The sequence below is a fragment of the Homo sapiens genome, chromosome 10 (assembly GCF_000001405.40).
Source record: "Homo sapiens chromosome 10, GRCh38.p14 Primary Assembly".
NCBI lineage: Eukaryota > Metazoa > Chordata > Mammalia > Primates > Hominidae > Homo > Homo sapiens.
This window is the reverse complement of record NC_000010.11, coordinates 8373846-8401662: the sequence shown is the minus strand read 5'-3', so window position 1 is coordinate 8401662 and position 27817 is coordinate 8373846. Positions and strand designations below refer to the sequence as shown.

The following is a 27817-nucleotide window of genomic DNA, read 5'->3' as shown; positions in this document are numbered from 1 at the left end:
ATAAAAGAAAAAAACAAGAAGTCAAGCAGAAGAGAATAGGCTTAAATATTCAGTAAAGCACTTCAAAGGAATAAGTGTACCATCCTTCAAGGCAAAGACATTGCCATTCATACCCCCAGTGGTTCGTGGGCTGCTCTTCTCCCTGGAAATGGCCATGACCTGCATTAAATCATGCATGACCTCTATACCCTCCAGACTAGAGGTAAGAGTTCAACCAGACCTAGAGTCATACCAGCTCCATATCATAAATAACAACAGCAGCGTTCGTTGATCTCACCCCACTGTTGACCTGCAACAAAAAGAAAAATCATAATTACAATGCTCCTGACCCACGTGACCCTCTTCAGGGTGTTTTCTGATTTTTATTAATCCTCCCCCTGCCCTTACTTCCAGCATAAACTCTTTCAAGCTCGGACTAGTAGATTCTCAATTTACCCACTATTTTCTAGCTCCAAGGAACATGCCCTCATTCACTCCTTTTATTTATTCCCTTTGCAAGAGCTAGCTCAAATATTCTAAGCAGCCTTCTCTGATCACTCCACAGGGACTGCTTCTGTCTTCTAGAGCATCTCTGGGAGTCATCCGTCACTTGGCACTTAGCATAGACTTATTCTCCTATTAAGTATGCTATTTATTCACTCAATCCCTGTATACTGAAATGCATAGCAGGTGCCTGGCCTTGTGAGGTGCTGGCAATACAAAGACACATCAACACATACCCTGTCTTGGAGTCTGTAGACAGCATAGCTCCTCAGTCTGAAAACTCTTCGAGGGTAAAAGTCTCCCTGATTCTTTTTGTTCCCCATACTTAGGTAAGAAAGCATGCTGGTCAATAACAAGTGATTCAACTATGCAATCAGAAAATCCCAAAGAGGCTTTCCCAAGTGCTGATTCATGAAAACGCCTCGTTTTTAACTCTAAAATAATCACATATTCCATGATTTTGTTCTCTGGGTGAGATTAACACAGGTCGATTGCTTTAGGCGTTTTCTAACTACTGTTTACCTGCTCTCTAATTTAGGAATTTGGAGGGGATTGGAAGAGGTGTGTGGGGAGGTGGGGGCTGATGATGCATTTACATAACAAAATATGTTTATAGTAACAGATTCCAGTCATTCAAAATTCAATAGAAACCAAAACAAATTTGCAAGAATGAGGGGCAGTTGTTCACCTTCCTCTTACCTCCAGCCACCGGCTGGGTCATTCGGAATGTCTTTAGACTCCGTCCTTTTTTTCCACCAGAGGGTACATTAGCTAAGTAAGTTATTTACCTCTAACCGAAGCCCTTAGGGAGCACAAAAGAGGGAAGTTGGTCATTGCCCCGAAGATGACAGAGCAAAGGGCATATGTTTTCCTGAGGAGCCAGGATGGCTCTGCAGCTGGGTAATTCATCCCAGGAACTGTGGTATTTATCTTCTCCACAGTCCCAGACAAAGGAGGTCCAGGCACAACAAAGTCACCCACCCCAAATGCCTTTGTCTCGGAGCCTCTCCTTTCCCCATTCCTGCCCACTCCCAAGCCCTTCCTATACCTTCCTGCCTCACTTCACACACCCAGCAGAACCAAAGAGGGGACCCACGCCCATAGTTTTTGACCAATTTTTGTTCCCACCAAGCAGATTTCCATCAGATAGTCTCATCAAGATAAACAGAATAAGAAAACAGGCATAGAAAGGATGCCAGGGGTGACAGCCCGGGGGCTAGGAAGAAGGAAATAGAGAAGATGGCGAGGATAATTTCAACTGTGGCCTTAATGGCATAAAAGTCTTACAGAGAGTCAATATTTGTTCATTGGGTTTGATTCAGAGCAAAAAATGAAATAAAATAGAATACCTGGTTTGTGTTCCCATGGCGTTTATTGATGAGAGTCAGTCCATCTGTACTCAGCTTCCTGATATGAAGTCTAGCACAATATCGATTTCTTCTGTGGCAACACATCCTGCTGATGGTCGGTTCTACTATCCTACTATCTCCATTTACAGGTAAAAGGAAGAAAGAAGGAAAAAAATATCATCCATGTAGCAGATTTTCTTTCTTTCTTTTCTTTGCTTTTTTTGATTTGTTTGTTTATTCTTGTTTTGTTTTGTTTTGTTTTGTTTTGTTTGAGTCAGGGTCTCGCTCTGTTACTCAGGCTTTGGTGCCATCACAGCTCATTGCAGCCTCCACCTCCTGGGCTCAGGTGACCCTCCCACCTCAGCCTTCCGAGTAGCTAGGACCACAGGGACGCATCACCACCCACACCTGGCTAATGTTTTTGATTTTTTGTAGAGATAAGATCTCATTATATTGCCCAGATTGGTCTCAAACTGCGGGCCTCAAACAATCCTCCTGCCTCAGCCTCCAAAAGTGCATGATCATATTGCCCAGCCAATTATTTTCAAGGTGGATTTTTGCAAGCAGTTTCATCTAAAAGCTCATACTGGGATAGCAGTTACAAAGACTTGGGTAGAGTCAGAAGGACCTGAGTTTCAACCCAGCTCTGCAATTTACTAGCTATATGACCATGAAAACTACTTCTGTATTCTAAACCTTAATCTAAAACTTTTGCTGGGATTAAATATTTGTGATAAATATGATTAAACAGTGTATGTACAGTAATGTAATGCATATTAAGGACACACACACACACATCCTAAATCTGAAACCTACAAGGACTTCCTTGAGATTGACAGCTGAATAGAATCTGCCCTGGGTTTATCACGAGGAGCCCTAAAGGAAGTGAGTTATATCAGAATAAAGTTGAGAAACAGAATTCAGCCCAGAATGAAGCCCAAGAATCCCAGAGATAACTGGACCTAAGTTCATCTAGAGTTCAGTGAGAAAGTTAAAATGTTCATTTAGTTAGAAAGTTAATTCCTTAGAACTTCAAATTCCCATCAAAAACTTGATTTTTATTCTTCTTTCTCCTATTATGTTCTGTCTTCTCACCAAAAACAAAGGAAGGATCCATGCATTTATTTCCTGACTGGGCGGGGTCTAGACCTTCAGAAGAATTTGGGTGCTTAAGGTCTAACTAGTTACAAATGATGGACTTCTTTTCCCATAGCATTTCTGAATAGGGATACCATGTAAAAAGAAATGAAATTGTGTATTAAGTTTCTTGAGCTTTCTTAATGAATAAATAATTAAAGGGATGGATTACTTATTTCCAACACCATGATAAATTAGATATGGGGACTAATGCATGTGTCAACTTCGTTTCTTTTAATTGACAAAGTAATTTGTTATTTATCAAATATAAAGGTCACAAAAGAAATGTATTAATTTCTAGCCAGTATCTGGAACTTAGAGAATTAATTAGAATGCAGTATCAACCAACTCCTCCACATGAAAAGACAGAGCTCATCCGTCACTTTCTCCAACATCCCTGATTCCAGGTGTAATTACTAAAACAGCAATGATTATTTAATTCTTCCATTTCCCTTTTTGACATTGTGATGTTGTTACTTTTCTTCTTCTGTGTTGTTTCAACAAATGGTGGTAAGAGAGGTTTAATACATAATTAAGACATTATTTTATGTCAATTTCATTTTAAAAATGCATCATACAAACTGAATTATCTTACATGGCTTCGAAGTATTTAAAGCAACTGTGGGTGTGACTCATAGTTACATGGCTTTTTACCTCTCATATAAGCACACTCTAAAAGACCATTCTAATAATAGAAAAGAAAATTTTTCAGCATGGTCTATAGCAGTGCTACCCAATGGAAATATAATGTGAGCCTTATATGCAAATTTTAATTTTCTAATAGCCACATGAAAAAAGCAAACTAGTAAAACTTATGTCAGTAATATACTTCATTTAAGCCAATACATCTAAAATATTATTTCAATCTGTAGACCATATAAAAGATTGTCAAGATATTTTACATTCTTTTCCATCCTAGTCTTCAAAATTAGACGTGTACGTTATACTTGCAGCACAAATAAATTCAGAAGCTAAATTTCCAACGGTTAAAATAAAATATAGCCCTGCCAAAACAAAAACGGTGTGTTTATCATAAAAATATTTTACACTGCTCTAGGTTTGAAATCTAAATTTAAAGTCATTAAAATCAAATGCAATGAAAAAGTTAGTTTCTCAATCACACTAGTCATTTTTCAAGTGCTCAAATGCCACATGTGGTTACTGGTACCATATTGGACAGCACAAGTCTGGAAGTTGAAGCCATTCCATCCAGTGAAGCGAAGCATAATGCTGTCAGTCTTCTCTTAGTAGTGTTTACGAGGTAGAGTCCCCAGAAGATAAGAATGTTGGTTAGGTATCTGAGATGTGTCAGGCACAGTACCTGGCCCACATCAGTTATAACTGCAGAGTGCAAACTCTCTGAGGGTAGGCACTTCATCTGCTTTGTTCCCTATTAGCGTCTTCAATGTTAGAATATTCCTGGCTCACCGTAAGCATGCAATGAATATTTGTTGATAAGCAAATTTGTTGAATTTTCTGTAATGATTTTAGCAACATTATGAGTTAAAAGGACTCAGATAAGCTAAGTACCTTACCCAGGATTACACAGCTAATAGTGACAGAGTCAAGATTCAATCTCAGAATTGTGTGACTCCAAAATCAGTGATCTCTTCATGGTGCCACACTACAATCAAATGTCAACAAAAATTTTGTCTTACTTTGGAATTCATCATATAATGTGTTGATAGTAGATGAGCCACTCTGCATATATGTAGTTATACTTGTATTGAAATTAGTTTTCATCCTCCAAATACATACCAACTTATGCAGAGAGCATGAGAGAGGCAGTTGGAATGTGTGTTGGGTGGAGCAAGAAAGTCAGTCTTGCTTTGAACATCAGTTGAGGGCAGGATGTGTAACAGATAGTTGAAATACAGCAGATTTGGCTCAATCTCAGAGGAATCTGTTCCATGTATATGTTTTGGGAATCCGTTCATAATGCTGACAGATGTTACTTTGCCAATTAAAACTCAGCCATTCCTGTCCTGAAAAAGCAGTGGGGAAATAAGGACACAAACCACTCTCTTACTTTCTACTTCCCTTTCTCTCTCCACTCCACTCTAGCCTAAATCTCTTGCTTAAATCCCTCTACCTTTTGCATTTGTACCTACTCATCTCTCACTGTGACATTTCTCCTTCTTCTTCCTTTCAAGTCAATAGATCAGAGTTCACAGTTTGTATAATTACTGGTAAGCTTGAGAAAGTCATGTAACCTCTCAAATAGCTTTTTCATCTGTAAAATGGGAACAATACCTGTCTTATCTACCTCTAGGCAGCCATCAATTAAACAATGGAAGCATAATTGTTCACTATATAAAGATTAGCTATTACTGTTATTACCAAATTCAACTTAAGCTTCAACTGGCATGTCTTGTTATTATTTTTATTATTAGTATTATTATTTTGAGACAGAGTCTCAATCCAAGCAGGATTGCAGTGGCACAATCACGACTCACTGCAGTCTCGAACTCGGGTTCAAGCGATCCTCCTGCAACTGGCATTTCTTGAGAGCCTATTATTTTGCAAGCATTTTCAGGGACTTTCATTCCCTTCACCCCTAACCACCCCAACCTCAGCACATGTCTCTTCTCCCATAAAGACATCTACATCTGCCTAGTATTTTGTTGTTGCTGTTGTTGTCATCATCCAGAGCATTGACTACCTTGACCAATGATTTTCAAATGCCAGTACACTAATGAATGTCAAGTTGTGAAAAAGTTTGCCCAGGGCCAAGACTAAATAATGATAAAACAACAATGTAGTTTTTCTTCACAAAGCCAAACTAATTAAATTTAAATAATACATTATGCTGAGATTGTCTTTCCTTGGTTTCATTTTTGTTTAAATGTCTTTTTTTAAAAAAAAAATGAAAAGATGATAATGGTGTTGATGATGATAGACTTTTTTTTTGTTTTAGTTAATGCCCTTTTGTGGCAAAATGAAAAATTTGCAATATTATGTTTACCTCTTCAATTCAAAAAATTGTGTTAGGTCCATGAAGTTCACAGTTCTCTGAGCTTCAGTCAACCTCTTTGATGTCAGTGAGTTGAGAATAGGGTTGTGCTATGTTGTCATTTAGCCAGTTCCCTGCTAAAACACTTCAATGAGTTCCCATTGTTATTGGGTTAAGATTAGTCTTTAAAATACTTTTCAAGCAGCTTCTGTTCTGGTTTCTGTCTCCCTTGTCTACTTCCCTCTTGCCTGGTCTCCCACCCCCAGAGCCCACCTGAGCTCTGGCCACATGGCTGTCCTTTCCTCCCTTGACTGCTCAGAAATTCTATCTGTTCAGAGCTTTTGCCTGTGCCATGGAGTCTGTCTGGAGCACCCTCTTCTTGTCCTCATCTCTCATCCTACCCACTTCCCTTGGTTAATATTGACTCCACCTTCAGGGCCAGCTTAAATGGCACTCTCTGCTTTCCAGTAACAATCTAAGGTTCCCTGATAGACTTTTTCCTACTTCTCAGATGGAAGATAGTGCTGCATACAGAGAGAAGTTTAAGGTTTCCCCAAAGTTGGTGACAGAGAGAGGACCAAAACCCAGATTTCCTGATATGGAATAGAAAGTTCTTTATAGAATCTCTCTGCCCAAATAAGGTTTTTATGTTGCTGGAGGGGTTGTGGGGTGGGATGTGGTATGGGGATAAGGAAGGGTCTTAAAATGGGAATCCCCCAGGCCAGAGCTATCTGCTCCCACCTCTTCTGAACTCTAGCTCAAAGCTCAATCCCATCAGGAGACAAGGTCTTTAGCCATTTATCCTTACCATTGATGGGTGGTTACACATAAACCTGGGTGGTAAATCTTTTATACCCTTGAAAAACAAAAATGAAAAACTATGCCTTTTTTTTTTTAACGGGGTCTCATTCACTCTGTCACCCAGGCTGGAGTGCAGTGGTGCGATCTTGGCTCACTGCAGCCTCTGCCTCCTGGGTTCAAGTGATCCTCCCACCCCAGCCTCCCCAGTAGCTGGGACCACAGGCACATGTCTGGCTAATTTTTTTGCATTTTTGGTAGAGATAGGATTTCACTATGTTGCCCAGGCTGGTCTCCAACTCCTGAGCTCAGGAGATCCACCTGCCTCAGCCTCCCAAAGTACTGGGATTACAGGCATGAGCCACTGCACCTGGCCATGAAAAACTATGCCGTTCTGAAAGTGAAATATATCTCCTATTTTTACAGATTACAATGCCTATAAAACGTCCATTTTCTCATTTCCTTCCACCTGCATGGAAGAATCCCTCCTTAACCAGTGAAGTAGACGAGCTTCTAGGACAGCCAGAGGTCATCTCCCAGCCAACAGGTGTGAGCTGGCTCTCCCTCGTGTAGCACCAGCAGCACAACCTCTTGGACCTCCAGTCACTTTGTCTGCAGGGTCTTTGTTCAACCCCCACTGCCTCTCAGGAATGGGGACATTGGGGAGTCACACACTCTGGGGGAAGCTTCCTAAACAACACCCCCACCCTGCCTTCCTGGCTGTTTACAGCCCTTACCTAAAGGATGGGATGGGCCATTTTTGATAATGAATGTTGTGTTAGGAAAATCCCCCCAGCATGTAAACTAATGATCAGCTAATGATACCCCAAACCTGAAGCTTAGTGTCCTGAAGCCAGGAGGGGATTCGCTTCAGTGGTTCTCAGAAGTTTGCTATCAAAGAAGCAAAAAAGGCTCTTGGAGGCCTTTCCTTCAGACACTCTCCTCTACGAGATGATAACACCATGCCCAGCTTGTAGGGAAAACCCAAAACAAAACTCCTTCCCCAGCGACCACTCCAATCTCTGATGGGGCTTGTTCTAAAATGAACCTGAGGAGGGAAGTTGCTTGGACTCAGAAGTAAGTTGCATGACTCATTGGTTTATGAAACTGGAATAAACAGAAGGAAGCAAGTGCCTGAAGAAACAATAGGAAATATGAAGGGTCTGTCTTCTGGGGAGCTTGAGAAGGCGTCCTCATTTGGCAGTTGTGGAATCCTGCTGGCCAGCAGGGCATTGTTTTCAGGGAGCTCATGCTTTCCAGGGACTTGGCATGACATCACACACCTCCAGGTTCCGCTCTACTGGGGGAGGCCCCTGCATTTCTCCATCTTTCCTCCAGTGAACCAACATAATGATAACTATGAAAATGACCAGAAGAAAGGCCAAAGAAAGACCAGGTTGGCCAGATTAGGAGTCATTTATCCAGGGTTAAAACAGAGAGAAATCTAACACCAAAATGGCATCGGCGGTGCTACCCCTGCCATTAACTGTGCAATGCTGCCTTCACAACTGGTAACAAAATTCAATGAGGATGAGGGATTAATTGTTATGGCAGTGAGCAGAGGAAAAACAAAAACAGGAAAAAAAATGGGCGTTGTGAAAACAGGCCACTGATTGACTAATTATATAGTATTTTACTACTAGTAAAAATTAGGAATGTCAGTAGAGAGAATAAAGTAGTTTAATTAGAAGTTAAAGGTAGCCTCGCTAGTCCTCCAAAAAAGAATAGCCACATTGGGGTGATAAACCCTTTGAACTGTGTCTAAGTACCAGTACTGTTTACCTTGAGGAAGGAAACTGTCAGTTGTGTTTGTTCACAATGAGCCAACCACAATGTGCCTGATGGATTTGGGACTAGTAAAAGAGGGGCACGTCAAGTGTAGGAAGCCAGAGGTTTATCACGGGATTAGATTTAGAAAGACAAAAGTCATCAGGAGACTGGTTGGCAGTCATTGTTTGCTGTGAAACTCTAGTCATGGAGTTGTTTTTCTTGAGGGTTAGCCCTACATCATAAGGGGAGCCAAATGCCCCTAAAATAATAGAAGAGTAGAATAATAATTCTATTAGCCACTCTTTTTAAGAAATGTAGATTTCCCCCATCCCAATATTTTAGATGGTGATTTATTTCTCCTTGGAACAAATCTTACTTATTATTAACCAAGAGTATCATCAAAACTGCATGTTCATAGAGTTACTAGTAATCAGTGTCAAGAGAGTTCCATTTAATCCAGGAATTTCATTTAAAATGTTTTAAATGTTGATCAGAAGCAGTTTTTGAAAGCATACCCTTTTGGTTCCTGAAAGCAAATGTAAAGTAAAACAAATAAACAGGCAAGGGGATAAAACAAAGAATGCTCTCTTTGTTCTAAACATGAGTGGACTGAAAAGCTAGTACAGTTCTTTCCAGAACTTTCTATGACACAAGCATAGGCAATTTGAAAAATGAAGAGTTTCATTTCAGGTTAAACACACTTGAATCACTGGTGAGTACTGCAACAAAAAATACAGAATTCAAGGAAAAGGCAGAAATGTGTTACTCATTTGAAAATTTTTTTCCCTACTGGCCTGTGGATCAAATCTCATGATTCAGAAGAGTTCCGTGGCTTCAAAGCTGTTGACAAACTGACAAAGTATGTCAGATGCAATAACTTATTTTACTTAAGAAAGTGCTTGGACATAGGTACTGTGATTTTCTGCGTACTACAAACTGGTCTGCTCCTACTTCACCTTGTTAATAAGCAAGACAAGCTACTGTTATTTTTTAAAAAACAGATTCTTAAATATTCTGTTGGGCAACTTTGTTATGCCTTAGATCCATTTTATTCAACTCTTTTTTTTTAACACTACCCTCTTTCTATAAGGATAAAAATCCCATGCTTTCATCTGCTAAGATTCCCATACAGATTCCTTTGCTCTGTTGAGATTATGTCTTTAAGGGGGAGAATCACTTATTCAGGACAAGCCAACTTTGTAAAAAATTATTTTATGTTATTTTTGCAATGAAAATAATATTTATTTATTTATTTTTGAGCCAGAGTCTTGCTCTGTCGTCCAGGCTAGAGTGCAGTGGCACAATCTTGGCTCACTGCAAACTCCGCCTTCCGAGTTCAAGTGATTCTCCTGCTTCAGCCTCCTGAGTAGCTGGGACTAAAGGCACCCACTGCCATGCCTGGCTAATTTTTGTATTTTTAGTAGAGATGGGGTTTCACCATGTTGGCCAGGACAGTCTTGATCTGATATCATGATCCACCTGCCTCAGCCTCCCAAAGTGCTGGGATTACAGGTGTGAGCCACCACGCAAAATACTTTTTTCAAATAAGGTATTGTACATTCAGAATAGATGTTTCTCCAAAATGTAAGAAGTACTGGTGAGGACATGGAGAAATCAGGATGCTTGTTCACTGTTGCTGGGTATGTAAAATGACGCAGCTGCTACAGAAAATGGTATGAGGGTTCCTCAAAAAATTCAAAATAGAACTACCATATGATCCAGCAATCTCAATTCTGGGTATATATCCAAAGGAATTAAAATCACCATCTCAAAGAGATATCTGCACTCCCATGCTTACTGCAGCATTTTTCACAATAGCCAAGATGTGGAAACAACCCAAATGTCTACCAACAAATGAATGGATAAAGAACATGTGGTATGTACATGCAGTGGAATAGTATCTAGTCTCAAAAAAGAAGAAACTCCTATCTTTTGTGACAACATGGATGAACCTGGAAGATATGCTAAGTGAAATAAGCCTGATTCTGCTTGCATGAGGTCTCTAAAATAGTCAAACTCATAGAAGTACAGAATAGAATGGTGGTTGTCAGAGGCTGGGGGAAAGTGGGGAGTTATTCAATGGATATAAGTTTTAGTCATACGAAATGAATGAGTTCTATAGAGCTGCTATACAACACAGAGCCTATAGTTAATACAGTGCTAAGAGTTTTTTTTAAAGAGAGTAGTGCTCATATTAAACATTCCTACCACAAAATAAAATAAAATAAAATAAAATAAAATAAAATAAAATAAAATAAAATAAAACAAAACACCAGGAACTTTTGGAGGTGATGGATATGTTTATTAACTTGATTGTTGGAATAGTATTCTCAGTGTATGCATATGTCCAAACTCATCAAACTGTGTATGTTAAACATGCGCTGTTTTTAAAACTATCAATGAAGATGGTTTTTAAAAAAGAGTAAACAGTTTGCTCCAATACCCAATCCAGTGCCCACTCCAATACCCAATCCAAGTTGGGAAATTCTCCTTGGGTTACTGCTATTCCAAAGACACCCATACTTGATCAGGATGATCTTGGAGACTCCAATCATACTTCTTAAATATTCAAATTCACGGCTGGTTGCTAGGAAGCAAAAACTATGATTTTGGTGGCAATCTGCGGGAAATTGAGCTTTTTTTCTGTTGGTTGCTTTGTTAGTTTTTCCAGGCCTACACAAAAAAAGCTTTACTCAGCAACAGAAGAAAGTGGGTGAATTTTGTTCATGTCTTAGCTTTTAGTAGTTGATCTCCTTAGCAGAGCTCTTATTGCAGTAGCCTATCATCTTAAGCGTGTCCTTATCTATTTAATTTTCTCATGATGTTCCTTTCTCTTCCAATTCCCCAAATATGCATAACTCTCCATCTTTGTTAAATCTCAAGTTCCCTAAACCCTTAAGGGCAGCTAAGAATCTGAGGATATAATCTTTGGTAATAGGAGAAAGCCTGGGGGCATTTATTTATACATTTTAATTATGCCACAGGGAACCTCTAGCTGGGGTCTTTGAATCCCCAAATCTTAATGGGAGTCTGATGGCTCTCTTCAGTAGTTCAAAGAGCCTCTAAGAACTTAGTGTTGCTTTTGAAGAAGACACATGATGTAACTAAAGCCATTCACCATATTATTAAATGAATTAGTTTACTATTTCTTACTGTCATTTGCTGTTTGCCAAACGCTGTTTGGACTCATTATTGCACATTCCATTTTATTTGCTTTGAATAATAAAAATGAGGAAATGAATGATTACTTCCTGAAAATGGATTTTAAGAGCTTACGTGATGATTCAGCCACTTAGTTATCCTTGAACAAAGAATGGTCCTCTTGTCCCTGGGAACTTGGTTCTCTATAGCCAAGCCTTAGGGGCAATACCATTGAGGAGGTAAGGGAGGAAAGTGATTCCTCACATCCTAACCCAGTCTCCAGTCTGTCAGGTCAGATGATTCAGCTCTGGAGTTCAATGGAGCAAAAAATGTTGTCTATTTAATTGGATAATAAAATTCTTTCAAAAATTGGAGCTGGGTTGGAAGTTTGCATTAAGAGGTCAATCATCTAAACAATGCTTGTCATGAAAAGGTAGAAAAACTCGTCTGCAGCCATTTGTGATACTAATGGTGGGAACTGGCCAGGAACCAGCTAACCTTCTTTGTCTTAGTACATCCAGTACCCAGTTGCACCTTGGAGCCTGGTGCAGGCTCAAATTTGAAGGGATGATTGACCTATGGCAGGCTTATGGATGCCTCTACCATGAAAGTGCAAGCATTTGCCCAGAAGATGAGAGTAACAGAATCCCGAGGCAGGCCACTGTTGGCAGGAGCCAAGAGAGAGCTCTCAACCTAAGGCCAAGACTATCTTCAGGATTCCAGGTCTCCCATCTGAAGGAATCAAGGGGAGCCTCAGATGGCTCCATGCTCCTGGAAACTCTCCCTTCACTCTCCCTGACCTCCACACCCACATGTCTTCCCTATCTGACTTGGGACCACCAAGGCTATCCTTACCACACCCTTGACCCCAGGTCATGTTGGAAGTTCAGCACTGCCAAGCTCTCCCTTATTCCTAGACTCTAATTCCCATTCCACTCATGCATGGCCGCATGGCCTTCTCTAAGCCCATCCATTTCCTTTCCCCTCCCCTCCCATTTTTATTTTTATTTATTTATTTTTATTTATTTATTTATTTATTATTATTATTATTTTTTTGAGACAGAGTCTCGCTTTGTCACTCAGGCTGGAGTGCAGTGGCATGATCTCGGCTCACTGCAACCTCCACTTCCCGGGGTCAAGCAATTCTCCTGCCTCAGCCTCTCGAGTAGCTGGGACTATAGGCATATGCCACCTTACCCAGCTAATTTTTGTATTTTTAGTAGAGACGAAGTTTCACCATGTTGGCCAGGATGGTCTCAATCTTCTGACCTCGTGATCCACCCGCCTCGGACTCCCAAAGTACTGGGACTACAGGCATGAGCCACCGCGCCCAGCCCCCTCCCCATCCTTTGAAACCCTTTCCCTGTGCCTTCTGGGATTCACACTCAACTATCTGGAAACTCCCTCATATCCCCAAGCTCCTGCTCCAGTGGGAACCTGGTTCTCCTGGACATCTTGCTGAAGCTGCAGCCAACTCACTTCTTTCTAGCCCTGGGCTGGGAGATGCGGTGGGCCACATCTCCCTCCCCTCTTCAATGTTGTTTCTAGGCTATTCTCCTGCCCTCCTGCCTAAAAATCCAAGCTTCGAATCCTATATCATTGAACCTTACCACCAATTACCCCTCTTTGTTGCAAACAATACTCAATCCTGCTCCCTCTCCCCAATTATCCCTTAATTCCTTAAAGAGTTTCCCTTCTAGTCAAAAGCCACTCTCTCCAACAAACTCCCATTATAATTCTTCATGATTTCAATATCCACTCTCAGTTCCGTGACACCCTCTATGCCAGGCAGCTAGTGCTCTCACCCCTTAACCACAGGCACTCCCTTAATCACATCATAACCAATAACTGAAATCCCTTCACCAGTATTTTCATTGCAAATGCCCAATTCTTTAGCCACCACTCTCTTTCTTTCCAATCTGCCCCTTCTAATAACTCAGGCTGGGCATGGTGGCTCATGCCTGTAATACTAGCACTTAGGGAGGCCTAGGTGGATGGGCTCCTTGCTTGAGCTCAGGAGTTGGAGACCAACCTGAGCAATACAGAGAAACTCCATCTCTACAAAAAATACAAAAATTTAGCCAGGCAAGGTGACCTGCACCTGTTGTCCCAGCTGCTTGGGGGACCGAAGTGGAAGAATATCTTGAGGCTAGGAAGTCAAGGCTGCAGTGAGCCAAGATCATGCCACTGCACTCTAGCCTGGGTGACAAAGTGAGGCCCTGTCTCAAAAAAAAAAAAAAAAAAAAAAAAAAAGGCCAAGTGCGATGGCTCACACCTGTAATCCCAGCACTTTGGGAGGCCGAGGCTGGCGGATCACCTGAGGTCGGGAGTTCGAGACCAGCCTGACCAACACGGAGAAACCCCGTCTCTACTACAAATCCAAAATTAGCCAGGTGTGATGGCACACGCCTGTAATCTCAGCTACTCAGGAGGCTGAGGCAGGAGAATCACTTGAACTCTGGAGGCAGAGGTTGCAGTGAGCCGAGATCGCGCCATTGCCCTCCAGCCTGGGCAACAAGAGCGAAACTCAAAAAAAGGAAAAAAAAAAAGCCACTTTGAATCTCACGGGAACCTCCATGTTGTTGACTCTGTTTATCCCTATTTATTTATTTCGTGTATCCCCTTCTCATTCTAATTACCTTCCTTACCCATTTTAATTCTATAGACACTCACTAAAATCACTCCCTTCCATACGCCTCAACTCCCTCACCTCTGGCTCACCTGGCAAAATCCCAGCCCTAGTGAGACCCAGCTCTCTCACCACTGCACCCAGGCATTCCAGTACAGCTAGAGAAAGGCACACAGTTAAACGAACTGTTCTCTCATTGATTTAAAATCAATGATGAATAATATTGGATGCGACCTAATGCTGCCCCTGGCACAGCCTCTTGTCCTGTGTATCTATCGAGATGGGCACCTAACTCCTCTCAAATCCACCTTCTCCGCTGTGGCGAGAGCTGAACCCTCCATCCTCCTAACAAAGAAAACCCTCCACCTGGGCAGTAGATTCCAGCCTCTCACTGCTCAAGAATGTTGCTGCATCAGATCGCCCCTCTTTTCCTTGCATCATTAAAATTCCCTGCATAGGCCAGGCATGGTGGCTCACGGCTATAATCCCAGCATTTCGGGAAGCTGTGGCAGGCAGGTGGCTTGAGGCCAGGAGTTCGAGACCAGCCTGGCCAACATGGGGAAACCCTGTCTCTACTAAAAATATTTAAAAAATTAGCCAGGTGTGGTGGCACACACCTATAGTCCCAGCTACTCAGGAGGCTGAGGCAGGAGAATCGGTTGAACCTGGGAGGTGGAGGTTGCAGTGAGCCGAGATCACACCACTGCACTCCAGCCTGGGCAACAGATTGAGACTCCGTCTCAAAAAAAAAAAAAAAAAATTCCCTGCATAATTAAATCAGTATTCAAACATACTATCTCTCTTGCCTTCATAAAGAAAGACAATAGCAACAACATAAAAGTGCTTCTGACCCAACTTCTACCTCCAGCCCTCTCCCCATTTTTATTTTTCCCTTTGTGAAAAAAAACTCCTTGGAATTCTGTGCTTGCTGTCTACGATTTCCCTCTATCATTTTCCTCTTGAAGCACTTCAGGTCCATCTTCACCTCATCACTCTCCACTGAGATTACTTTATCAAAGTCACCAATGACTTCCATTTTGCTAATCCTATCACCAATCTTCAGTCCTCATTCTTTTTGACTTATCAGTAGCATTTGGCACAGTTGATCACTCTCCTCTGGAACCAGTTTTCTTCACTTAGCAGCCACTGATGTGTGCTTCTCCCTTGTTTCTCAAGCTCCTTTGTCCCCCACCCCATTTTCCTAACCTCTAAATAGTGGAGGACCTCAGGGCTCAGTCCTTGGACTTTTCCTCTTGTCTATTTATATCCATTCCCCATGTGAATTTAACTTAAGTTGTATGACTTTAAATGAAATCTATATTCTGGTCCTTACAACTTTATAACTCCAGTCCAGACCTCTCCTCTGAATCCAGACTCACACATCCAACTTCCCGGTTGATATTCCCACTCATAGGTCGAATAGCCTGATTTTTTGTTTCTTGTGGTTTTTGTTTTGTTTTGTTTTGTTTTTTTTGACAGGGTCTCGCTCTGTTGCCCAGGCTCAAGTGATCCTCCATCATCAGCCTCCTGAGTAGCTGGGACTAGAGGTGCGTGTTACCACACCCAGCTAATATCTGTATTTTTTTTGTAGAGATGGGAGTCTCACTATGTTGCTTAGGCTGGTCTCAAACTCCTCACCTCAAGCAATTCTCCTGCCTCAGCCTCCCAAAGTGCTGGGAATATAGGTGTGAACCACCAGGACTGGCCTTTGAATAGGCTTTTCAAACTTAACATGTTCAGAACTGAGCTCTGGACATCATCCCCTGAAACCTGTTTCTTTGACAGTCTTGCCTTCTGCAGCCCCACTCTTACAATTACTCAGACCCCAAACTTGTCATGCACATTGCCTCCTCCCTTTCTCTTCCACCTGCTTCTAATCCCTCCAAGTCCGGCCTGGCCACCTCTCACCGCCTCCATGTTCCCACCCTGCTGCAAGCCACCGTGGTTTTGGCCTGGATTATTAGACAGTCATTTTCCGATGGTTCCCCTGCTCTATCCTTGCCCCTTTCTCAGTCATGTTATGTTACTTCCCCGCTTAGAGGCATCTAGGGACTCCCCATGTCACTCAGAGTAAAGCCCAGAGTCCTTGCCATAATCAAGGCCCTACAGGATCTGGTTTCCAGCTGTTCCTCTGATTTCTTCTCTTCTTATTCCCTCCCTCACCCACCCCAGCTACATCGGCCTCTGTCTTCCTCTTCAGTTCATCTGAAGAGCTCTCTCTGTGGCCACTGCACTGACTGTTCCTCTGCCTGAAATGCTCTTCGCTTGGCTGCTGTGTAACTCACTCCTCACTTCCTTTGGGTCTTTACTCAAATGACTGTTAAATGAGGCTTGTCTAAGAAATCCTAATTAAATTTTTAACCACTGCAAACCTCAGCAGCTACTATCCTCTCCTGCTTTGTTAATTTCTTTAGTTGTGCTTTTCAATAATATATGTTTACTTATTTGTTAATTGTCTTTTTGTTTGTTTGTTTTTGACAGAGTCTTACTCTTTTGCCCAGACTGGAGTGCAGTGGCACGATCTCGGCTCACTGCAACCTCTGCCTCCCGGGTTCAAGCAATTCTCCTGCTTCAGCCTCCCAAGTAGCTGGGACTACAGGTGGGTGCCACCATACCCAGCTAATTTTTATATTTTTAGTAGAGATAGGGTTTCACCCTGTTGGCCAGGCTGGTCTTGAGCGCCTGACCTCAGGTGATCAGCTCATCTCAGCCTCCCAAAGTACTCAGATTACAGGCACAAGCCACCGTGGCTAGACAACTTATTTGTTTATTGTCTTTCTTCCCATCTAGAACACCAGTGCTAAGCAAGCAGGATTTTTGTCTCTTTTGTTCACTCTTGAATTCCTAGCCCTTGGAATAATGCCTGGAATGTAGTAAATACTGAAAAGATTTGTTAAATATATAGCATTTATTTGTCACTTGCCTTATATGTTTTATTTTATTCATCATCTTTTGAAGACTAGATGTGTTGCCTTTATTTTCTAACTATACCATAAGCTCCTTGGAGGCAGGGACTGTTTATTTTTTACTTTTTGATCCTCCATAGTACTTTATGTCACATTAATAAAGAACATTAAATAAATATGTGCTGGACTAACGGATTGACAAAACCACTGATACTATTCTAGTTAAATAGGTAATAGAAACTTATGGGTAGCTTAACTGCTATAAAGTCTCATATGCCCTTCCCAAACCTGTGGAAATAAAACAGAATCATAATCTGTAAAAAGGAATATTTATAGCAATATGGTTTGGCTCTGTGTCCCCACTCAAATCTCATGTCAAATTGTAATTACCAGTTTCAGGGAAGGACCTGGTGGGAGGTGATTTGATCATGGGGTGGATTTCCACCTTGCTGTTCTCATGATGATGAGTGAGTTCTCACGAGATCTGGTTGTTTAGAAGCATGTGACTCTTCCCCCCTCACTCTCTCTCTCCTGCTCCACCATAGTAAGATGTGCTTGCTCCCCCTTCACCTTCTGCCATGATTGTAAGTTTCCTGAGGCTTCCCAGCCATGCTTCTGGTTAAGCTTTGGAACTGAGTCAATTAAAATTCTTTTCTTCATGAGTTACCCAATCTCAGATGGTTCCTGATAGCAGTGTGAGGATGGACTAATACATATAGCTACCTCATTGAATTGTTTTGTGCATCCAAGCAGATATCGAACTTCAAAGCTCTACAGAAGTATTAATTGTTCATGTTGGGTCAACGTGTAAGATGAATCAAGTAGTTTTTATTTGGGTGTTCTATTTGACTACCACAGTTCAGGTGATACGTGTGCAGAGAACTCACCTTGTGCATGGCCTCAAGCTAGATGTTGAAGAGCTTACACATTGAAGCCAGTCCTACAAGGAGCCCACACTTCCAGGATGCTCAGTGAAGTGGAATCTCAGCAGATGAAGGAAGGACTTTTCCAAAATTTTGCTCCTGGCTAAAATCCTAGAATTTTATGTTCTTCTATGAGTCTCAGTGTTTGAGTAGCTCCTAACTCTGGGGTTCAAACAAAACAAAAAGCGTGGCAAAGCTTCCTACATCTCTACTCTACTCAAAACATAAAGAGGAAAGAAAAGAAAGAAAAAGGTCAAGAGTTGAGGGGTTTGTATGTTTGGACATGCAAAACAAAGGAAGTCAATACAATGATGTACAAATCCAGACAGAACCCAGAGACAAAGCTCTTCCAGCTTACATAAACCATGGACTGGGCATGTTCTAAGAGAAAAGTGAAGGATTGTCTCCTGGGACTCCAGGCAGATTTTTAAGCAGTTAATAGAATTTTTTTTAATGAACTTGCATTTTTCCAGTTTAGCCATCACTCTTCTCTCAATCTCTCTTTCTCTCTTCACACACACACAAAGAATATTGCAAAAATGATGCACACTGACTTGATTTGAAATGCAAGTTTTGACAAAACACTTTTAATCCTAGTTCAGGTCTTTGGAGATCTATTCTGTCTTTTTTTTTTCTAAGGGTGATGTTAGTTTGACTCTTCCCAGCTTTGGCTGGAAGGTGCTGAAACCATCCACCTGAAGGAACCACACTCTGCTCTAAGTGTATGTCCCACTTCCTTTCTACTCAATCACTTCTGAACACAGGTCCCCTCCCTGGTTCTAAATTGGGACTTCCGACTAAGGTAAATTCTAGAATTTGATCCAATAAACATAACATTTGCTCTTTAGTTGCCTGTATGTGTAAGGATAGAGAAGTATGATATAGAAGGTAAAAGCAAAACTCAGACATCAGATCTTTGGGATTTTGAATCCCAACTCCTCCAAGAGTGTGGGCGTTGTAGGACATTGGGTAGCTTACCTGTCTATGGCTTAGAGAAAGAATGTGTATCAGGGCCGGGCACAGCAACTCACACCTGTAATCCCAACATTTTGGGAGGCCGAGGCAGGAGGATCACTTGAGGCCAGGAGTTCAAGACCAGCCTGGGCAACATAGCAAGACCCCATCTCTAAAAGCAAAACAAAACAAAACAAAAAGAATGTATATTATACTCACACATACTAAGCTCTTAACGGAGGGCCAGTATATAGCAATACGCTTATAGCATATAGTGTAAGTGTTTGCTATTCTTGTTTAATCTATTAGTAATGTCAAATAACGAAGGAATTAACTAATTTTCTATATAGAAACCTAGTGATTTCATTATTCTTTCAACCATCGTCTGCATGGCAAATGCTTAAATAGGTGTGTGCGTATACACACATACATAAACATATATTTATATATGTGTATGTGTACACACACACACTTCTTTCTAAGTTTCAGACATCATTGTACTTCAACCTAATTTTAGCATGCATTGGCTAAGAATAAAGATAATCTTCTACTTAACCACAATACTATAATGATACCCAGGAAAATTTATAATTCCATAATATAATCTATTAAAATATATACTCCATATTTAAATGTCTCTGAAGGTACCAGAATTTTATATATCTATAAATTTATTATATAATATATTTAATATATAAATATATAAATATATTTCATTAATATTAAATATATAATTATTATAAATTATTATAAATATCATAATATATAATTATACATAAAATATACATATATAATTATGTATATAGTTATATATTAATTTAATATTTATATATAAATATATGTTTATACATTAGATTTATATATTATATACATTATATTTTATATATATATAATATTTATATTTTATATATATAATATTTATATTTTATATATAAAATATTTATATTATATATATAATATTTATATTTTATATATAAAATATTTATATATATATAAAATACTTATATTTTATATATATATAAAATACTTATATTTTATATATATATAAAATACTTATATTTTATATATGTATATATTTTATATATATATATGGCTGTTATTTTCCAGACAGGATTTAGTCAAGGTTCATACAGTGAATTTGGTTATTATGACTCTGACAACAACTGCTAAGGATGCCCTCTCCAGCAAAAAATTTTTTTGCATGTACCTTCCCAAGTAGAATTCCTTATTTAGAGAAATTAGGAAACTCTGGCTCAGCTCTCCTTCTGTTTACTGCTGCTGCACTTCAGGCAGCTTGGAGGGACATCTGCTGTGGTTTCTAATGGTTGAGCTTCCATTAAATGAAACCTCAATTGAAAACAGTCATCGCTGGAGAGCAGTTATACCTTTCTCGGGGCTGAAGCTTTCCTGGGAGTTGTAGATTCCTGTGTGCCCTCATTATTTCTGCTTTTTATTATTATTATTACTGTTATTTTAGAACTCCTTGCTGCATCCTCCTAGTCCCTGCCCTCCTTTCCAGGTTCTCTGCCTCCTTTTCCTGAGGGACTGCCCTAGCCATCTGCACAGCAACCTTCTCTTTTTTGAGGAGGGGTGGGTGCAGTGACAGTCTCACTTTGTTGCACAGGCTGGAGTGCTGTGGTATGATCTCAATTCACTGCAGCCTCTGCCTCCCAGGTTGAAGTGATTCTCCTGCCTCAGCCTCTTGAGTAGCTGGGACCACAGGCATGCACCATCACACCTGGCTAATTTTTGTATTTGTAGTGGAGACGGAGTTTCACCATGTTGCCCAAGCTGATCTCGAACTCCTGACCTGAAGTGATCTGCCCACCTAGGCCTTCCAAAGTGCTGGGATTACAGGCATGAATCACCACGCCCAGCCTACAGTCCCCTGCCTGATCAAGGCACTCCCTTGACGCTCCTGAGGACATCGGGTCCCTCGCACAGCATCTCCAGGGACAACTGAAATCTCACCAGGGCAAAAGTCCTGTGTTCCTACATTGATTCCTGACTCTTCTGAACCCGGGGCCGAGGAGACAGGGAGAGGAGGCCTTTATTTTTAGCTTCCAGGTGATTGGAAACTGTGCAGTTCAGTTATCTGACTTTTCCACTCTTCTGAATTTGAGCAGTTCCCTTTGGAGCCTCGTGTTCTCTCAAGCTCTTCTGAACCATTTTGAAAGTAAATTTTGAATTTCCTCTTGTGCCTGCAAATTTTCAGCAGCACAGTGGAGGAGAACTCCCAGAGGAAAGGGTTTGGTTTGCTCCCTCCTCGGGGTCACAGTGTTATCTATTGACACATTCCAAAGCCTCATAAAAGCTGTCAGAACATCAAATACAGAGACTGTCCAAGAGAAACACCCACTGTCAGGGCTTGATTTTTACAGCTACTAATAACTTCTCCCTTTGAGTTTGCCCAGAGCTCTGCACAGAATTGAAACAAACAAACAAACAAACAAAGCTTAGTTCTGCCTTGCCTACAAGTTTGCTGTGTGACCTTAGGAAAGTTGCTTAGCCTTTCTGATCCATATTTTCTTCCCTTGTTAGTCCAAAAATATAGCAAGATCATAGAAATCACTAGAAAATAAGCCCCCCTCATAACAATTAAATTCATTTAAAAATATTTAATTCTTCAAATAGATCTTTAAAATCAGAGACAACTTACAGTTACTGCTAATGAGTAAATTTTTAAGAACTGACTTTGTAAAAAGGAATCAGTCATCTAACCATGTAAAACTTGCCTTCAGGACCAAAGATCACATGAAGGGCTTCAGCTTTTTGCAGGTGGCAAGCTAAAATAACCAAGAAGACATTTGAAAGGAAAAGGAAATTTTTCTTTTAAAAGTCCTATGCTTGCCATTTTGTGGGGTAAAAGTAAATGTTTTAATGTCTTATTGCATCAAGTATATCAATAACACTTAAGCTCTGATTTAAAAATTTCTATCATTTTCCTTCAGGGACTTCATTTTCTCAGCATGAATTTATTTATCTAGCTTTTGTCATATATATATGTATATATCATATATATATCTATGTATATCTATCTATCTATCTATCTATCTATCTATCTATCTATCTATCTATCTATCAGCTAAAACGTTTTAGTCCTGGGCTTCTCACATTGCAAAGCTCTGTCTCAACTGAGCGTGCATTTATTTCACAGCCACACCCCCATTTTTCTGAGCTTTCTGGCAGATGCTTTTCTGCTTTTCTTCATTAGCAAAATATGAATTTTTTGCCTTGGTTTGCAGAGACAGAGTTCTGCCTTTCCTGTGTTCTTGGTTCAGGCGTAACAGTAAAATAGCCCAGTGTCCTGTGTCATTTTGGGGGTGATACCATGGGGTAATTATACTCCTAGCTAAGCTCCTTGTCCCGTTGGTATTCCTTCCCCCACCCCCAACCTTAATCCCTATTTCTACTGTCTGAGAAAACCTGGGAGGATCCAAACAAACTCTCAGTCTAGCAAGTTTAAAAATACGAACGAGGAATATTTTCTAAATAAAGAACTCGAAACCCTAAATGCTAAGTGACTAGGTTACTTCCATCTATTTTCAAAAGCGAAGAACAATATTTTATCTTGGACTTACAGTGACATAAATAACAATGTTTAGAGAAAACTTTCTGCAAATGTCTAAAAGACAGAGGGACAGGCTGGGTCATGGCTGAGGCCTAAAAGAGAATTAGGGGAAAGTCAGAGATTTCCTGCCTTTGTAATGAGTTTACTAATTAAATCTTAATTGTAAAGCAAGCTGAGCGAAATTTAAATGAATTTCTGGTGCCAGAAGCCAGGTTATTATGGTGGGACTGTTTATAAGGACAGGAAAGTGACTTTCTAAACATCAAATTCCTGTGCGTTAGCCAAGACCCAGAGGAAGTCCCCACGTGGAGAAGCACAGAATGTAGCAGAATAAGGGGCTTGGGTCTTGAGATAATTAAATGACACCAAGATGTCCTGAGTCCCCTGAATTCAGTCATTGCCAGAGGCTGCAGTCTTCCTGTTCAGATGGGCTGGAAACAGCCACTTCTGTAATAACCAATGTGTTTTTCCCCCTTTTACAACAAACAAATGATCTAGCCATTTCAGCCGTGATTTAACAGCGCTGGAGATGGAAATTCCTCGACTTTGTAAACCCTGCCCGCTCTATTGAAAAATAAGCCTTGCAAATACACAGAAGCCCAAATACCCAAGAGAGACAAAGCCGCCATAGTGGAAGAGTGAAAAAGAAAGTGGATTTTATTTCCTCCTGGTACTACCCAGAGGGGGAAAGGCAGGCTGTAAAATAAGTAAAACCAGAACTCCTGTGGCAATAGACATGGTTTAACACTATTTATTTACCATGAGATTAGGAGAGTGAATTATCTAAATGCTCCCGTTCTGTTTTGTTTGGTTGATTTTTTTTACACTCACGTATTTAAAGTGGATAACTTCCTTCATAGCCTTTTCAGAGGCGTTCATCTACAGCCAGCCTTTTTCTTGCCCGTACCTATGTTTTGCCACTAAAAACCTCCATTTGTCACATTTGCCATTGGAAATGGGTCTTTGTCCTGGGATCCCTGCAGCATAACCTCACAAACTAGTGACATGTCACAGAGCTGGGACCATGTGGGAAATACCCCATCTGAATCCTACAAGGAATTAGGTTAATAAAAGAAGTGATGGCTGATGCCTGTGGTCTAAAAATTGGAGAGCTAGCAGATCTGTTCCTTGGCATAATTTCTTCCTTGATCTTCCAATCCTCTCCAAGGAGATCACTCACATCAATGCTGGGAAGGATAACCCATAGAATAAGGGATTCAGATAAAAGACAGATAGGATAAGCACAATGGCTCACACTTGTAATCCCAGCACTTTGGGAGGCCAAGGTGGGTGGATCACTTGAGGCCAGGAGTTCAAGACCAGCCTGGCCAACATAGGGAAACCCCGTCTCTACTAAAAATACAAAATAAGTTAGCCGAGTATTGTGGCACATGCCTGTAATCCCAGCTACTCGGGAGGCTGAGGCATGACAATCATTTGAACCCAGGAGGCGGAGATTGCAGCAAGCCGAGATCACACCACCGCACTCTAGCCCGAGCGACACAGCAAGACTCTATCTATCTAAAAAAAGATAGACAGATGGATAGATAGATAGATATCATACATATATAATATACAATTTTATAGTAGATAATATATATAATTATAATTTATTCCATTCAACTACGTAATTTCCAAAATGCAAAATGACTTTGCTATTTCCCTCCCCACCTTCCCCTCAAAAATGTGATTTTCCCTTCAAGCCTCCTCTTGGGCCAGAGTAAGAGAACCTGCTTTCTGGACAAATCATGGGACTACACTCTCTCTACTCAGTGAAGTGTCATAGTCTACATCTTGAGTTTCCCCATCAGATATATCTGGTGGCTCTGAGGAAGTCATAATAGCAATAGGAGCCACATTCAACATGAACACTACATGACTCCACAGCTCACGGGGCTATTAGAAAGCTTCAAAGAAGGCGTTGAGCTATAGAATGTATTATTAGTGTTATTGTCATTTGACCTTTTAATCCAGAAGGAAAGAACCCAAGAAATGCATTCCCTGGAGAGATGTAATCAAACAATTCTTTTTCATATCTAATTTCTTTGAGTCTCTTTCTCAATTATCCCTACAGAGAATTTTGAACTGTCTAGTCTTTATTTACTCAGTAAATGCAAATCGTTTTTATGGGTCTCCTCCAAAGCTCCCAGTTGTTGTTCGTGTCATTTTGTTTTGTTGTTTTTAATAAGAGCCAGAGCTGAAATGCAGATTTACGTAAGAAAAACTCATTTCATCTTCAAAATCTTTTGAGGCTATTTTGAAAGATGGTGCAGCACATATTTCATAAATGCCACTTCGCTTAGCTTTTTCTATCTTTTGGGTAAATGCTATGCTAATCAGGAGATACAAGTGGGAATGTTTTCAGACTGTCTGCTGTATGTGCTGGGGACCATTGCTGGTGCCCAGGGAATGGTTTGACTCGATTCCACTGACTTCCATAAGACTGCTCTGCAAAAGAGAAAAAGCACGCATCATTTTAATTTTAGTTATGGATCAAAACTTTAGGGATGTGTGATGATATTTTGGTTTGGCAGTTGTTGAGTGTCTTGTTTGTTCATCCTTTTAAACCATCAAGCAGCAAAATATTTTCCCGCGCCTCTCCACCATTACCAATGCCATGCAACCACTAAGCTGACTGACCTCAGGGAGGCTTACTGGGGATTCAGTTGGTCCACAAAACCCTTAGGACTGTAGGGTCACAGATTGTTGGTGATAAGGGCAGAAGTTAAGGGGACTTTAAAGAGCTTAGTCTCCCCATCACTTTGCAAAACATGAAAAAGGGTCTAACTATACCCTAATGGCATAATCCTACCTAGACTCCGAGCCTTGGTATTCTTCCACCAAAAGTCTAGTTTGGGGGCCTCTGCTCACTGGGTAACTTTCCCAGGCTGAAGATAACTTGGCAGGACTTATTGGTACTACGACAGCTGTCAGAAGGCCTGTGGGGCAGAATCCAATTTTGAAAGTATATAAATTATCAGCACTGAAGTACCTAGAGATATAAACATATATCCTGTCTGGCACTGGGGCCCACAGCCTGTAGTCTTAACTACATGGGAGACTGAGGCAGGGGTATCACTTGAGCCCAGGTGTTTGAGGCTGCAGTGAGCTGTGATTGCATCATTGCACTCCAGCCTCAGTGACAGAGTAAGACCGTATCTCAAAAAAAAAAAAAAAGGTTGGGGGGAGGGGGCTTCCTTCAGTTTGGGGTTAATACAGAAATTATTGAGTTTTTAGAGAGCTTATTTATTATCTAGCTTAATGCCTCAACTTTATAGGTTAAAAAAGTAGAGGTCAAAAGAAATCACAAGTATATAGCAGAGCCCTTTTTTTACTCCTTCCACAATTCTTTATTCAATTATCTCTAGAGAACTCAAAATAGAGAAGCCATATACATTTTTTATTTCATTGAAGTGGCTTAGCCCCAGTGTTAACAGGTGAATGGGGATGGCATAGTAAAATCTGACAACTGTTTTTTTTTTCTTTTTTGAAGACTTCTTTCATTAAAAATTGATTTTTCCAATTAGACTTCCATTTTACCTTAGAAATGGATTTCAGGGATGTCAAGTGATAACGCAAGCTGTGCTCAGAAGTGCTATTAGTCTAGTGGAGGTGAGATGTGAAGCAATTTGGGCTTACCTGCTAAAGGTCAGATACTTTCCAGTGACAAGTTTCACAGCTGAGTGTAACACTCCATTGCTGAATGGCAGCAAGCCACAAGATGTTGTCATCGGCCCCCACATCCCAGACCAAGCCTAGGCGTTCAGTTGGGCCAAAATGTCTAATTTGATGTCAGAGAAAATACCGAAGTTTTAGGAAGCCCAAAACTTTTCTTGCTCTCTCTTTTTATTTAAACTTTTAATAAGGAAATCTTTGCTTTGAAAAACCAGATTTGCAGCAACATGGATGGAGCTGGAGGTTATTAACCTTAGCAAACTAACGCAGGAACAGAAAACCAAATAGCACATGTTCTCACTCATAAGTGGGAGTTAAATGATGAGAACTTGTGGACACAACGAAAAGAACAGACACTGGGTCCTACTTGAGGGTGGAGGCCAGGAGGAAGGAGAGGAGCAGAAAAATATCTACTGGTTACTAGGCTTAGTACCTGGGTGGTGAAATAATCTCTGCAACAAACACAACCTCCATGACATGAGTTTACCTATATAACAAACCTGCACATGTACCCCTGAACCTAAAAGGTTTTTTGAAAATGAATAAATAAAAATAAAATAATTTTAAAAAATCAGATTTGGTTAGGTTTGGGACTTTTTGTTTTTCCTAAGGACTATTGGCGCTGACATTTTCCACCAAAGGCTCAGTTTTGTAGCGTGTGGATTTCAGTGCCATTCAGATAGATACGGTATCTGTGCAAGAGAGAGAAATGCGAGGGAATGAAGCCGCCCTGCTGTACAGCAATGAAAGGGAGGGAATGACAGAGGGTGAGTAGACCTGGAGGAACTTTCCAGGTGATATAAAAAGAGCTTCTGGAAATGACTGGTCTTCAGGTGCAGCTCCTGAGGCACTGAGCTGGCTGCCATTCAGCTGAGCCTCTGCCACCATGAGAGCGCAGGATCAGGCCAGGGCAAGCTGTACAGTTGGTCTAAAGCTGTTGAAAGATATAAAACCACTTCTCGACTAGTAAACTCTGCAAGAGCAGGAATGTTGTGTGTTTGCTGTATCTCTAGAGCCTAGAACAAAGCTTGGTCTGTAGTTGATGCTTACAGTCTATTTGTCCACAGAAAGGTTACCATATTGGGAGAAGGACCAAGCTAGAGATTTATTCAAGAAATACTCCCTGAAGATGTGGAGAAAAGGTAACCCTTGTGTACTGTTGGTGGGAATGCAAATTGGTACAGCCATTATGCAAAACAGTATAGACGTTCCTCAAAAAATTAAAAATAGAATGACCATAAGATCCAGCCATCCCATTACTGTCTGCATATCCAAAGCAGATAAAATCAGAATCTCAAAGAGATGTCTGTTCTCCCATGGTTATTGCAGCATTATTCACAATAGCTAAGACAGGGAAATAACCTAAGTGTCCATCAGCTGAATAAGGACACTTGTGACATGAATGAATGAATAAGGAAAATGTGACATTTATATCTATAATAGAATATTATTCAGCCATAAAAAGAAGGAAATCCTGCCATTTGTGATCATGTGGATGAACCTGGAGAATATTATGCTAGATGGAATA

General features: G+C 40.6%; 1 long non-coding RNA gene across 1 annotated transcript, besides 1 other annotated feature; it reads right to left on the bottom strand.

The window, feature by feature from the left end:
- Positions 1 to 121: 121 nt before the first annotated feature.
- LOC105376396 (uncharacterized) lies at positions 122 to 19190 on the bottom strand. The gene is made up of 3 exons (XR_930637.2): positions 19068 to 19190; positions 1833 to 1965; positions 122 to 289 (listed from the first exon to the last, which is right to left on the bottom strand). It is a non-coding gene; the product is annotated as an uncharacterized LOC105376396 (long non-coding RNA).
- Positions 1578 to 2078: an enhancer, noted in NCBI's record as "H3K27ac hESC enhancer chr10:8441548-8442048 (GRCh37/hg19 assembly coordinates)". NCBI's record gives its function as "activates a minimal SCP1, AML or CMV promoter by ChIP-STARR-seq in primed H9 embryonic stem cells {active_cell/tissue: H9 hESC(primed)}" and the evidence as "EXISTENCE:reporter gene assay evidence [ECO:0000049][PMID:30033119]".
- Positions 19191 to 27817: the final 8627 nt, after the last annotated feature.